Source organism: Homo sapiens, chromosome 1 (genome assembly GCF_000001405.40).
Source record: "Homo sapiens chromosome 1, GRCh38.p14 Primary Assembly".
NCBI lineage: Eukaryota > Metazoa > Chordata > Mammalia > Primates > Hominidae > Homo > Homo sapiens.
In genome coordinates, this window is record NC_000001.11 from 146186858 (window position 1) to 146200811 (window position 13954).

A 13954-nucleotide genomic window follows, 5' to 3' on the forward strand; every position below is an offset into this window, starting at 1 on the left:
ATAAATTTTTTTTTAATTTTGCTTTTAAGTTTTGGGATACATGTGCAGAATGTGCAGGTTTGTTTCATAGGCATACATGTGCCATGGTGGTTTGCTGCACCTATCAACCCGTCATCCAGGTTTTAAGCCCCACGTGCATTAGGTATTCATCCTAATGCTCTCCCTCCCCTTTCCCCCCACCCCCTGACAGGCTCCAGTGTGTGATGTTCCCCTCCCTGTGTCCATGTGTTCTCATTGTTCAACTCCCACTTATGAGTGAGAACATGCCGTGTTTGGTTTTCTGTTCCTGTGTTAGTTTGCTGAGAATGATGGCTTCCAGCTTCATCCATGTCCCTGCAAAGGACATTAACTCATTCTTTTTTATGGCTGCATACTATTCCATCGTGTATACATGCCACATTTTCTTTATCCAGTCTATCACCGTTGGGCATTTGGGTTGGTTCCAAGTCTTTCCTACTGTAAATAGTGCTGAAGTAAACACACATGTGCATGTGTCCTTATAGTAGAATGATTTATAATCCTTTGGGTATATACTCAGTAATAGGATTGCTGGGCCAAATGGTATTTCTGGTTCTAGATCCTTGAGGAATCGCCACACTGAAATTTTTAAAGGAGAGAACCAGTGTCTTCTTATTTAACATAAATAGATAAGAAACATGTGCATGACGGTATCTACTTAGCACCTTTTAGTTTAAGAAACACATTGCTGAACAATAACTACACCAGGCACTGTACTAGGCATTAACTATGCAAAAAATGCATAAGACTAAGACCTCACATTCTAGCAAAAGAAACACATCAACAAATGACCATAATGCAATGGGGTTAACTACCACAAGAGTTGCATAACAGAATAAAGCAAGCAACTAACGCACCAAATGCCACAAAAAGACTAAACAAGATTTCAGTGGCCTACTCTAAGGTATTAAGTTCCCTCCCTTATTATCTCCAGTTGTATCTCCATTCTTAGAGGAGAATGCACCACATTTTTTTTTCCCCCAGCTAGAAAAACTAAATGAGCAGCCCATAATAAGCTACATAAAACCTTTATTTCCAATGTTATCTTTATTCCAATCCAAACAACCTATTGTTAAGCTTTACTGTCATCACAGCTTAATTTTCACTTTAGTGAAGAAAATTATTTCTGACTTGAAAAAAAAATCTTGTTTATAACATTAAAAAACTAAATCCTGGTGTCAGAACAGATCTCACTGGAAAAAAGTTGTAATTACATTCCTGGTAAGAAATAAAAATGTGTTGGATAAACTCACTTAAAATGCTTACTAAGCAAGTACCTCCACCAAAGCAAAGAAGAACTACTCCTCACAAAAATGAAGGAAAAGAAGAGAAATTTCATATTACCAAATTTTATTTCTCCAGCATCTTCCCTGAAATAAACAGAATGGATACATATTCCTCTTAAAAATTTTCAATTGAGGCAGAAGAAAAAAAATTATTTGCAGGAAACATAGAAAAGCTATTATGAAATTATCTCACAGCCTTCCTCAAACAAACAAAACGTCTTGGCTAGAGTAGATGGTTGGAGAAAAAGGAAAAAAAAATGCTCTTAAGCCAAGAACTAGCCTACATTTTCCTTCATCCTTACTCTTTTATCCCCATATAATAATACACACCCAAAGCCCCTGCTCCCCCTCAATCTACACATATGCACACATCTTCCTCTCTCACTGTCTCACTTTCAGAATTAGATTTTTTACACTAGAAAAAAATATGAATATAATATTCACATATACTGGGCCGAATATTAAAGTTGATATCTATTTGGTTTTACTTAAAAACAAGATAATAGATAACATGTTAAGGGGAGACTCTAAGAGTATTCCTTAATCTGAAAAACACAAGGGAATCTAATATACATTTTTTTATTTTTTTTTATTTCTTTTTGAGACGGAGTCTTGCTCTGTCACCCAGGCTAGAGTGCAATGATGTGGTCTCAGCTCACTGCAACCTCCGCCTCCTGGGTTCAAGTCATTCTCCTGCCTCAGCCTCCCGAGTAGCTGGGACTCCAGGCATGCGCCACCACACCCGGCTAATTTTTGTATTTTTAGTAGAGATAGGGTTTCACTATGTTGGCCAGGCTGGTCTTGAACTCCTGACCTCGTGATTCGCCCAACTCAGCCTCCTGAAGTGCTGGGATTACCAGCATGAGCCACCATGCCTGGTCTACCCCATATACATTAACTAGCCACTCACTGAAAAGTCTTTTTCATAGTGAGAAAGATAACAGTAAGATAGTAAGAAGTTCTTATTAGCCAATTATCTGGCATCCACATCCTTCCATCCTCACCCCCAACCAAAATCTGTACCAGGAAAGCTCAAGAACCAGTAACATTCCACAGAAGCATTAAAAATAGAGGAGTAGAATCAAATCTTGTCCAGTGTTCTATCGCAAAAAGAAAATATATGAAGAGAAAAACTTACTTGCAGTATCCTGTGCCATTGTGGTAGGTAACACACATTCCTTCATTTACACAGGGTTCATAGCCATCTCGACACTGCAATGCTAAAAATAAAAACAAATGCACATTAGAAGTAAGTCACTAATCATAACCCTCAGACACCAAAGAAGTGTAATCCAATCCAGATCAGCATTCATTCCCACCTAATCTGGGTTTCTTTTTAGAGTTTTAATCAGTTTTTTATGTTTTGGCTTCTAGCACAGAAGCCCATCCCAAAACTATCTTCCAACAATAACCACGTTTGTGGTCTTGAATCATGCTCTTATTTCTCTGTGTTTCAGTATCTCCAGCTGTTACATCTCCATCTCCCAATTAAAAATTAAAGCCATACCATCTATGACATGACACATCATCTTGGGATTTAGATACTTCAGATGAGTATTATAAGGATTCATCAATGAGTGTTTAGGAAAATGCTAGATAAATAATAGATCACCATTATACTGATGAATTACTTAGCCTTCAGGTGAAGTTTTAAAACAGACCGCTTCAAGAAGTAATCAGAAACAGCAATAACAGTAATTCGACAAACTAAAATTGAGAGCCTAGTATGCACCAGGCACAAAATTAGGATCCAGAAAAAAGGAGAAATGGAATACATAAATAAACGAATAAACATAATCTCTAGCTTTAAGGGGCCCATAAAAAGATGGGGAGTAGATCATGAATAGAGACTGCAGAGAGAGTATCAAAAGAAATAAAAGGAGAAGGCAATTTTATACATACAGATAAAACAAAAATTCTCAAACTGTTGATTCCCCCATTCCCTTTAAGAGACAATAAAAAGGCACTTTACCATCTCAGGCCCTCCCAAAAACAGACTTTTCAGAGAAAAGAACAAAAACAACAGCAATAGTAGACATTTTCATTGATTTCAGCCAAGAATGGAAGAAGTCTACTCGAAATCTGCTAATCACTTGCTGGATAATTACAATATCTTGATTGTTTAGCTTTTAGAGTTGAAATTTTCATCACCAAAATACATATCAAGAACCCTAACAACTGGAAAGGTAAGACAGAAAGAAACCTAGTCAAACAATAAATATCAAATTGAAGCTCATGAACTCTTTCTTGGAAGTTATTAAGATGTCCATCTCTTATGATAGTTAATGTATAAATACCTGAAAGCAAAACTGAGAAGTTCCCCCCTCCAAGTTTCCTCTAACCACACCACTCTATGCATAAATTGTGCAAGATCAGAGACGCTAGGCCTGGCCATCCCTGGCCACGAAACCAGTAGCCCAGGTGCAAGCTGGATGTCAGAACAACTCCTCCAACAACAATTACTGCATAAAAGCCCAGTATTGTATCCAGTAGTAGAATCATTTGAGAACATGTTTACAGAAAATGCATCCCATCCTTGAAATAGTATTTTTAAATGGTAATAGTAATAATAATAGGCTAACACATAGAACTTACTAAATACCAGGCACTATCCTAAGTACTTTACATAAATTAGCTAACTAATTCAATCTTCACAACAACCCTTAGAAGTAAATTTCATTATACCCATTCTCAGGTGAGAAAACAGGGAGGATAAGTGGCCTGCCTACTGCCATGCCAGTGAGTTAGAAAGCTAGAATTTGAATCCAGAGACTCTGCCCTTAACCACCAAGATACACTGCTTCCCACTACCTGAAATTTCTCAGGATTGGCAGGGTGGATATTATTATACCCATTTACCAATAGTAGAGGCCAGAGAGAATAAGTGGCCTCTTTACGGGGCATCGCGCCACTAGCTGGTGGCAGTGCTGGGCCTAGGACCCAGGTCTCAGTAAAAGTCCAACCCATCTCTATGACAGCTGTTGGGATCACACAAAGAGTCACCAGGCTGCAGGCCCAAACAGGCAAATTCAGGAAGAGGGTCATCTTGTTGTCCATATCCCACTTCCCTGTAAGGCTCAAATGCTCCCTCTTCCCACACTGATAAGCCCAATGCAACAACTATAATTAAAACAGTTAATGTCAGGTTATTTCCTCCATACCAAAGTTCTCAAACTGATTTTTTCATTCTCTTTAGACACTTTTATTAGTTTCAGTGAGAACTTCCGGGGTTTTTTCTATTTACTTTTTTTCTTTAAATAAAATAATAAATAAATAAAACCCTCACAGTAGGAAAGGAATGTCCTGTAGGCACAGAAAAAGCTGTAGCTCTGTCCCCCTGCAGGAATCCTGGTGCAGTGGAGGGACTCAGGAGACCTGAAATCCTGTCTGTACCCCTAACTGCAAGCAAAGCACAACTTCATGGGGGCTCAATTTCCCTACCTGTACCAAGCTGAGAGCGAACTAAATGTCCCTAAAGGTTCCCTGTGATCCACCAGCGACAGCTCCCTCCTTATAAGTACATGAATGGCATGCCCAGTGCCTGAAGAAACCTGGAGTACATAATGACCCAGCCACCCATGACTCAGAATGCCATGGGTGCAAAAATCACGGCCTGTTCCTATTAAGTGTCCTGACAAATCATTACAGTGACAGGTTCAGAGAAATACAAACAACCCAAAGTCAATATGTAGCAATCAATCTAGCAAATAACTTTACAGCCTAGCCCTAGTGAACCAATCAAACTCAGTGACTGAAAAGAAGGTGGGCTTACCAGGCTAATAATTAATGCCACTTGGCTGATGTGTGGGATCATGCTACCTTGAACCTTTAGCATTTACTGAGCCACGGTTCTCAAACTTTAGTAAGCATTGGAATCACTTGGAGGGCTTTTTAAAAAAGAGTGTTAGACTCGACCCCCACAATTTCTGACTAAGTCTGCAGGGAGCCTGGGAATCTGCATTCCTAACAAATTCCCAGGTGATGTTGATACCACAGGTCTGAGGAACCACACACTGACTATGACTATATGAACGCTTGAGTGTCCACTTTTAAAAATACTCAAAAGCTATATAATATAGAGGTCTTAGATGATTTAGATGATAACATATCGTCTGAATAAACAGGATGTGGAGAAATGGAACCCTTCTACTCTGTTAATGGGAATGTAAATTAGTACAACCATTGTGAAAAACAGTGCAGACGTTCCTCAAAAAACTGAAAATAGAATCACCACATGATCTGGTAATCCCACTGCTGCGTATTTACCCCAGATATTTTAAATCAGTTTATTGAAAAGATGTCTGTACACCCATACCAAGTTATGGAAGTGTCCATCAACAGATGAATGGATAAATAAAAGGTGGTAGATAGGCCGGGCACAGTGGCTCACGCCTATAATCCCAGCACTTTGGGCGGCTGAGGCGGGTGGATCACGAGGTCAGGAGTTCAAGACCAGCCTGGCCAAGATGATGAAACCCCATCTCTACTAAAAGTACAAAAATTACAGCACGCCAGTAATCGCAGCTACTCAGGAGGCTGAGGCAGGAGAATCACTTGAACCTGGGGGGCGGAGGTTGCAGTGAGCCGAGATTGCTCCACTGCACTCCAGCCTGAGTGACAGAGAGAGACTCCATCTCAAAAAAAAAAAAAAAAAAAAAAAAAAAAAAAAAAAGCTGTGGTAGATACATAAAATGGAATACTATTCCACCTTTAGATATAAATTCTGTCATTTGACACAACATGGATAGAATTGGAGAACATTATGCTAAGTGAAATAAGGCACAGGAAGACAAATACAGCATGTTCTCACTTATATGTAGAATTGAAAACCATCAAAATCATAGAAGCAGAGAGGAAAATGGTGGTTACGGAAGCTGTGGGCCTGATGATCAATGGGTACAAAAAGCTACAGTTACACAAGAAGAATTTTTTTGTATATGTTTGAGATATATTGCATAGTGTGGTGAATATAGTTAATAATAGGGTATTATACATTTCAAAATTGCTAAGAGAGTAAATTTCAAAAAATGTTAAATATTTGAGATGAAGGATATACTACCTACCTTTTAATTGTTCTACATTGTATTAGCAAATTATAACATCACTTTGTACCCTATAAATGTATACAACTATAAACTGACAATTCTAATTTTTAAAAAAGAAAAATAATCTTGAGACTCGTGGCTTTACTCAGGAGCAAAAATGAATACTATAATTATCTTCCATACAAAGAGAAATTAAAACTTTGATAACCTGAAGCCATGAAAGTGAGACCGGGACAGACCTCATTTCAAAATTCAATTTACTTTTTTCCAATGTAAAACACTTAAATTTAACAATAAAATTGAAGGCAGCTTCATGCTTATAAAGTAAAAAAAGAAACATTAATCATACCATAGAGAATTGATGTTTAAACTGATGCTTTAATAGACTCCAAGAAACTAGTCACTCACAAAGAGTCACATTTAACCCCAATTTTCATGTCAATAAATACTTGCTGGCTGAAATAAATCTTATTTACTGTGTGTGTATCTGCTGTTTGTGCAGGCCCTCCTCTACTCCACCAAAAAAAAAAAGGCAAAAAGAAGTAGTAGATTTCAATCTCATCACTCCATCATTTGGCAATATAATACAAAAATCTAGAAGCCAATTTCCAATTTTCATACACTTTCAGTGCAGTGCATTTGGGAACTAGCTATCTAATATTCAGAACATATTTAGAAAGCATCTACTATCGGCAGGCACAAGCCCTGATGTCAGGGATACCGTAGTATACAGAATAAACTCCCTGTCCTCAGGAACCTTATTTCTATAAGAGAAAGGTGGCTAAAAAATTAATAAATAAAATAATTTAGGACAGTAATAAGCGATAAGTTCCATTGGAAACAAAACCCAGTAATGTATAAAAAGCAATCATGAAGGCTGGGGGTGCAGGAGTGTACCTCAGATAGTGTCTAGGAAAGGCCTCCCTGAGGAGGTATGCTTTGAGCTACAATGTAAATGAACAAGTGTCATGAAGATATGAGGGAATAGCACCCCAGGCAGAGGAAACAACAAGTGTAAAAGCCTTGAAGTGGGAATTAGACTGGTATTCCAGGTTCATATGGCTAGAGGTTATTAAGCAAGGACAGAGGCCAGGGAGGCAGGCTGGGGTTAGATCACAAGAGCCCATGATAAGGATCACAGCTCTAAGTAGGAGAGTAAACTGCTCAGCTGTTTTAAATAAGAAAAATGACACAGATTTATGTTTGAAAAAAGTCAAGATTATGAAATGGTCCAGTGAGTAAAAAGGTTTTTCTTTTCTTTCTTATATAAGCTTATTCAAGTCATCCCTTTTTAGACTAGACTGAAGACATCCATTTTCCCAGCTCCCCAAAATGGCAATGATTTTATTCTAACCGCATCTAACCTTCCAGAAGCACTACTTGTAACATGTTGCCCCACTACTTTCTAACCTACAATGGCTGTCAGTTCTTACTTAGTTCTCAGAACTTAGCCTCAGTTTGGCTCTCCTAAGAACCAGTTGGGAGGTCTGTGCAGTACCTTCACACAGTACCAAGTTTGACACTTTTTCTTCCAAGGACAAGCCATTTCTTACTTTAACCAGTCTAGGCTCCCATGCTGGCCTTCCAGATCAGAGCTTACCTTACGTGCCCAGTATTACTCCCCACCACTTCCACTGCATTCTCTGCCCAGTTTATGCCCTCTTTCCTGAATAGATCGTCATTGAACTCAGTTCCATTCCTCCATGCATGTCTGTGCTTCCACTGATTTCTGCCTTCCTCATTACTATCTAAATTCTACCCATTCCTTCAAGGCCCAGTTCACCTCTTGCCTCACCCAGAAAGCTTCCCCTGGAGGGTTCTGGTCCTCACAGGGCCACCCCCCCCCATCCTTGTAACACTCATGACTCTCAATTCAGCACTACAGGGTCTTCTAGCTCTCTGCTTTTTCACTTTTAAGTTCCTGGGATATGGAAAACATTTCGTCTTTTCTGAGTATTTGAAGCAATGCAGTTAAGCAGTTGAAAGCACGGATGCAGAAATCAGACAAATCTGGGTTTGAATACTAGCTCCACCATTGACTATCTCTGTATCTTCTTTGTGCTTGATACAGTTTGGCTATTTTGTCCCTTCCAAATCTCACGTTGAAACATAATCCCCAATGTTGAAGGTGGGGCCTACTGGGAGGTGTTCAGGTTATGGGGGCAGATCTCTCATGAATAGCTTGGTGCCCACCCACAGTAATGAGTGAGTTCTCGCTACCATGTGAGCTGGTTGTTTGAAAGAGACTGACATCTCTCTTGCTCCCTCCTCTCTTGCCATGTTACATACCTGCTCCCTCTTCACCTTCAGCCACGAAAGTTTTTTGGGCCCTCACCAGAAGCAGATGTTGGCTCTAAACTTCTTGTACAATCTGCAAAGCTATTAGCCAAATAAACCTTTTTTCTTTATAAATTATTCAGCCTCAGGTATTCCTTTAGAGCAATGCAAAACAGACTAACATACTTCTTTTAAAAAACTATAGCACTGAAGGCATAAGGAGAAGTGATCCACTAAAGGTAAAATAAACAATATATGTGAGCAAAAACTCAATTTTAATACAGTTCCACTAATATTTGTCGAGAAACTACTGTCAGCATTGTCCCCTACTAGGCACTGCATGAAAACTAAGCACAAATAAAACAAACAATCTCTGTCCTCATGGTCCTTACAATCTAATGAGAAGTTGGGAGTAGGGGCAGAGAGAATGTGACCTACCCAAATGACTCTAAGATAAATACAAACAAAATAAAAATTGCCAATATATACCCTTGGCATACCCTCTTAATACCAATCTTGGAATCACTCCAAAAAGAACTTTTAAGAAATACAATAGGAACCCTTGATGTTTAGCACTAACTGTAACTCAATCCAGACAAGGCTCTTTTATTTATTCAGGTTTATCAGCCCCAATTATACATCAAAACTGCCAACAACAGAACAAGCTGCCATTGATTTTAACCAGCTCCAGCGCCTCAGAAATTTATTCATTTAAGGATAAGGCTAAGGTATCCAGACTTGATGGACTCTTCCTTAAAATTTCCTCTAGGCATTTACCTAGGTTTTCCAATGCTTTTCAATATCATACCAGCTACATATCACTGGCTTAAAAGCCTCCCTTTGTTTTAGGAATCTCTAACATGAGTAATTAAGTCTGTACTTCAGCCAGTGTAATCTGAGCAGCCTTCAATGTGTTTTACTTGTTGCATTAACATGTAATCGTTTTAAACTGGCATTACTTGTTGCTTTGTAGCTTCTTCAAATAAGCCTCTGTCGTCTATCTCACATGATTTTTTTCATATCCTTCTCCCTATCTGCAGTGTGGTATCTGTGCTTAGACCCACTGCTCAATCGGAAGGTATTTTAATGTCTTGACTGTCTGAGGCTCCTAAAATACATGAAGAGGAGTTATACAGGCTCTTTTAACTTTTTCTTCAATGTTTATGCAAATTTCAAGTAGCAATATTTGAGAGATGAAGTCTGAGTTTACGCCCTAGGATCTTGGCTGTGGTTGGCTGCTGTTGATTCTGGCACATGGCCTCTGGAAGAGGCTCAGTAAAATGAACAAAGCAAAGTTTTCTAAAATGACTGCCTGCATTATTACCAAAAATAGGAGAATTGAGGGCAGACAAAGAGACATCAGGGATTTGCAATAATTCTCATAGCGCCCTGCAATTTCAAACAAAACTTTCTCTAAATTTTGTATTCCATTTTTTGGGATCAAGCCATGAAAAAAAAATCCAAACAAACAGAAGAAGTGCGGAAGCTTCAAATCCCAAGTGGTACATTTAAATAAAAACGAAGCGGAGAAACATGTCTTCCTCCTTGAAATTTGTCTTGATTAAAAGGAAAAAAAAAAACCAAAAAAAAGCAATAAGAGATAAATCGATTTTGTTTTCCTAATAGTGTTCCAAGGATTTATGTGCTCTTTACAGATATTATCATATAGAAAGTGTGTTTTCTACCTAAGAGATGCTAGTATCAGATCCAGATATTAAGAACTGGGCTATAGGGTCATAGCAAATTATTACTGCTTTTCAAAAACTGAAAATATACCTTAAGAAAATATAATCAACGATAACAACTTATAAATGAATATTTTTTGTATTACTAACAGACTTTTCATACTATAAAAAAATCATTCCAGTTAGCTGATAAATCTAGAATAATTTTTGGTTTTAAAAACTCCAATTTTGTTCTATTTTATAATATTGAACTCATTGCAAAAAAAATTCATCAGTGTTTGCTGTGCTATATTGAAATCTACTATACACTGTGTAGTTTTTCCTTTTATTTTTCTCTTATTAAAGACTTCAGAAAAAAATTCAATTTATGCATGGGTTAAATTTCAATACCTGGATCTTGGAGATGAGACTAATGCATTCAGCTCTTCTACATGAAATATAAGGTTTGAAAAATCCACAAATACTTACAAATTAGGATGTAGCCAATTTGCTAATAATGATCACCTCTATACCCATGTACATTCTTTTACCTGAAAAATATTTTACCTCCTTTTCCTTTTTCTCTATCTTGCTAAATTCCTACTATATTTCAAATCACAGATAAAGCATTATTTTCCTGAAGAAGCTCTCAGAGACCCACTGATACAGATGTTCCTCTTCTGTGCTCCCATTTTATCCTAGGTAGATGTATTATAAGTGCTGGCTCACTCATCTCTCTCTCTCCCACTTCTAGGCAAATTCCATAGAGGCAGTAACCACAATTGGCTCCTCTTTGTACACCTGGGACCTAAGAAGATGCCTGGACCACAGCAGGTACTCAATACTCAATAAGATATTCAATAAACTAAATATCTATAATTAAGACAAAACCTATGAATAAACCCAACCTTCAGCTTGCATGTTTATGTGTGGAATTTCACTTTGTGTAACAAATTAGAAAAGTAAAATAAGAAAGAAAAAAATGCTGCAAATTTCCAGGCCTTTAACAAGGATGAAAAGTTGAGAAAGTAGAATTGTACTTTTCTAATCTTTGCAAAACTAAAACAGTTTTGAAAGTTCCTTTCTTACCATTTGTTTGAATGAAGATACACTCTCCACTCTTAGCCTCCTATAAATCTTAAGCCATGTGTATTATGGTAAAAACTAGCTGAAATAGGTTGAATGGAAGCCAAAATAATTTACATCTAAATGAAAAACATAGAAAACAGAGTAATAAAAAAATTCCAACTGAATGGGAAAATTCATTGTATAGTATTATCTTCCCCATGAGTAGGTTCACTAATACACATCGGCAGAACAATAAGCACCAACGAGATCCAAATGACACTGACCAACATGATCACAGTTTACATGTCCAAAAGGTTCAGGATCTCAGTGTAATAAAACCCAACAGAGAGGAAGAAGCTGTATCATATCTAGAAATTTAATTATTCTCTACAAAAAGTGCTATATATTTGTGTGCTGCTTAGTGGTCAAAGAAAGTGAATATGAAGTGTTATTCCATGTCTTGTCTTATATCTTGTATTATCTGTTCTGTTCCACTATCTGTATTTGTACTATTATCAAGACAAATTTTGCCTGTCACCAATTTCCTGTGCTTTTAGTAAACTCCCTTTTTAAAGCTTTTTTTTTTTTTTTTTTGAGATGGAGTCTCGCTCTGTCACCCAGGCTGGAGTGCAGTGGCGCAATCTCAGCTCACTGCAAGCTCCTCCTCCTGGGTTCACGCCATTCTCCTGCCTCAGCCTCCCAAGTAGCTGGGACTATAGGTGCCCGCCACCACATCCGGCTAATTTTTTTTGTATTTTTAGTAGAGACAGGGTTTCACCGTGTTAGCCAGGATGGTCTGGATCTCCTGACCTCGTGATGCTGGGATTACAGGCGTGAGCCACCGCGCCCGGCCTTAAAGCTTTCTAAAGATTATTTTGTTAAGTACAGCTTAGTTTTTTTAAGTCCTTAATTTTAAGTACATGCTTTTAAGTACACTTGCTGGAAAAAAATTTATAAATATATATAATCTTCTTGCTATACACACAAAAGAAACAACATATTCTTTTAGCTTAAATTGCTCAGGACACTTTTTAAATGGAGTACACAATTTCTCATGTTTGTTAATTTAGAGGTAGACACCCAAACAGAATGAATAACAAAATTATGTTAAAAATGAAAATGGAAAAACCTAAGATTGCTACATATTATTATATAAAATCATGGATACTTCCTAAAACAAAACAGGGAAAATCCAAAGAACAACCTCAGATTTCCCTACATGCATCCTTCCTCATAGCCTTTTTAAAACATCCTTGGGTGGTAGCAATGAAGGCTACTCACAAGGATGGGGACAGAGGTCATCAGGGATACCATAATCAATGTACTGTGCAAAAATAGTGCAGAGGAGATTGGTTAGTCCTACATAAAGTCCAACTACATGTATGGCTAACTATTCTCAAGTCAGGGTTCGCAGAAGCTAAGGTCCTAACATTTGGATTATTTTTATATTATTATCTGGATCAAATAATATGCCTTCAGCCAAAATCAAACTCTGTTCACCTGTGAATAGTATTCCTGTACCCAAATTCCTGTACACATCACTGAGAATTGTCTAAACCCAAGTGCCTCAAAAGGTCCTAAACCCTTGACTCATAGCCAGGATATTTCTTTTTTTTATTATTATACTTTAAGTTTTAGGGTACATGTGCACAACGTGCAGGTTTGTTACATATGTATACATGTGCCATGTTGGTGTGCTGCACCCATTAACTCGTCATTTAACATTAGGTTCTAATAAGCTCAGAAACTAGCACTGTGAGGGAAATATCTAAATATGGAGATTATAAATGCCTATCATTGCCATTTCCAGAGAACACACCTGAGGCCAAAAACCTTGGAACAGAGGAAAGCAGATAATAGAAAAATATCAAATCTTTATTAAATACCAAAGGGAGAAGAAAACATAAAATATAGCCCTAAACGGCCAGGCGCGGTGGCTCATGTCTTTAATCCCAGCACTTTGGGAGGCCGAGGTGGGCGGATCACGAGGTCAGGAGATCGAGACCATCCTGGCTAACACGGTGAAACCCCATCTCTACTAAAAGTACAAAAAAAAAATTAGCTGGGCATGGTGGCGGGTGCCTGTAGTCCCAGCTACTAGGGAGTCTGAGGCAGGAGAATGGCATGAACCCGGGAGGCGGAGCTTGCAATGAGCCGAGATTGTGCCACTGCACTCCAGCCTGGGTGACACAGCAAGACTCTGCCTGAGAAAAAAAAAAAAAAATATATATATATATATATATTCCTGAACTTCAATTTTTATTTATTTTATTCTCCCTTGCTTTGTTTCTTCAGACATACAACTATGTCCCACATCAACACAACTTGGGTCTCCTGGTCAACAGAAAAAAATAATAATGTGTACTTAATGATATTTGATGAGGAGCTGATAATCTCAATGTCCAAATCAGTTCCTCTTAAAAACGCCAGTCCTCCAACTCCATCAGCGTTTTGATTACTCATATTCTTTCTTTATTGTAAATGCAAGCAAGAATTTATCTTTAAGACTACTCAGATTTCTGCAGAGTTGTAGCAGTCATTTTAATAAAAAAGCAGCTCAACACACTAACAGTCACAATTTGGTTTGCAAGTGCTC

The 13954-nt window shown here is 37.9% G+C and overlaps 1 protein-coding gene across 4 annotated transcripts in view, besides 2 other annotated features; it reads right to left on the minus strand.

Moving 5' to 3' along the window:
- The window catches only part of NOTCH2NLA (notch 2 N-terminal like A), an 80157-nt gene that overhangs the window by 37993 nt on the left and 28210 nt on the right, over nt 1–13954 (minus strand). For 2 of the 4 annotated variants that reach the window (NM_001364006.2, NM_001395231.1), the window contains exon 2: nt 2443–2516. In NM_001364006.2, coding sequence (NP_001350935.1) covers nt 2443–2516 — 74 coding nt within the window. Of the gene's footprint in view, nt 1–2442; nt 2525–13954 lie in introns of all 4 variants that reach the window. The other 2 variants (NM_203458.6, NM_001395232.1) reach the window with 1 other exon arrangement.
- Nucleotides 5847–6047: a silencer, noted in NCBI's record as "fragment chr1:145245299-145245491 (GRCh37/hg19 assembly coordinates)". NCBI's record gives its function as "represses an EF-1alpha promoter that drives an FKBP-Casp9 reporter gene in an ReSE screen in K562 erythroleukemia cells {active_cell/tissue: K562}" and the evidence as "EXISTENCE:reporter gene assay evidence [ECO:0000049][PMID:32094911]".
- Nucleotides 11889–12088: a silencer, noted in NCBI's record as "fragment chr1:145239247-145239446 (GRCh37/hg19 assembly coordinates)". NCBI's record gives its function as "represses an EF-1alpha promoter that drives an FKBP-Casp9 reporter gene in an ReSE screen in K562 erythroleukemia cells {active_cell/tissue: K562}" and the evidence as "EXISTENCE:reporter gene assay evidence [ECO:0000049][PMID:32094911]".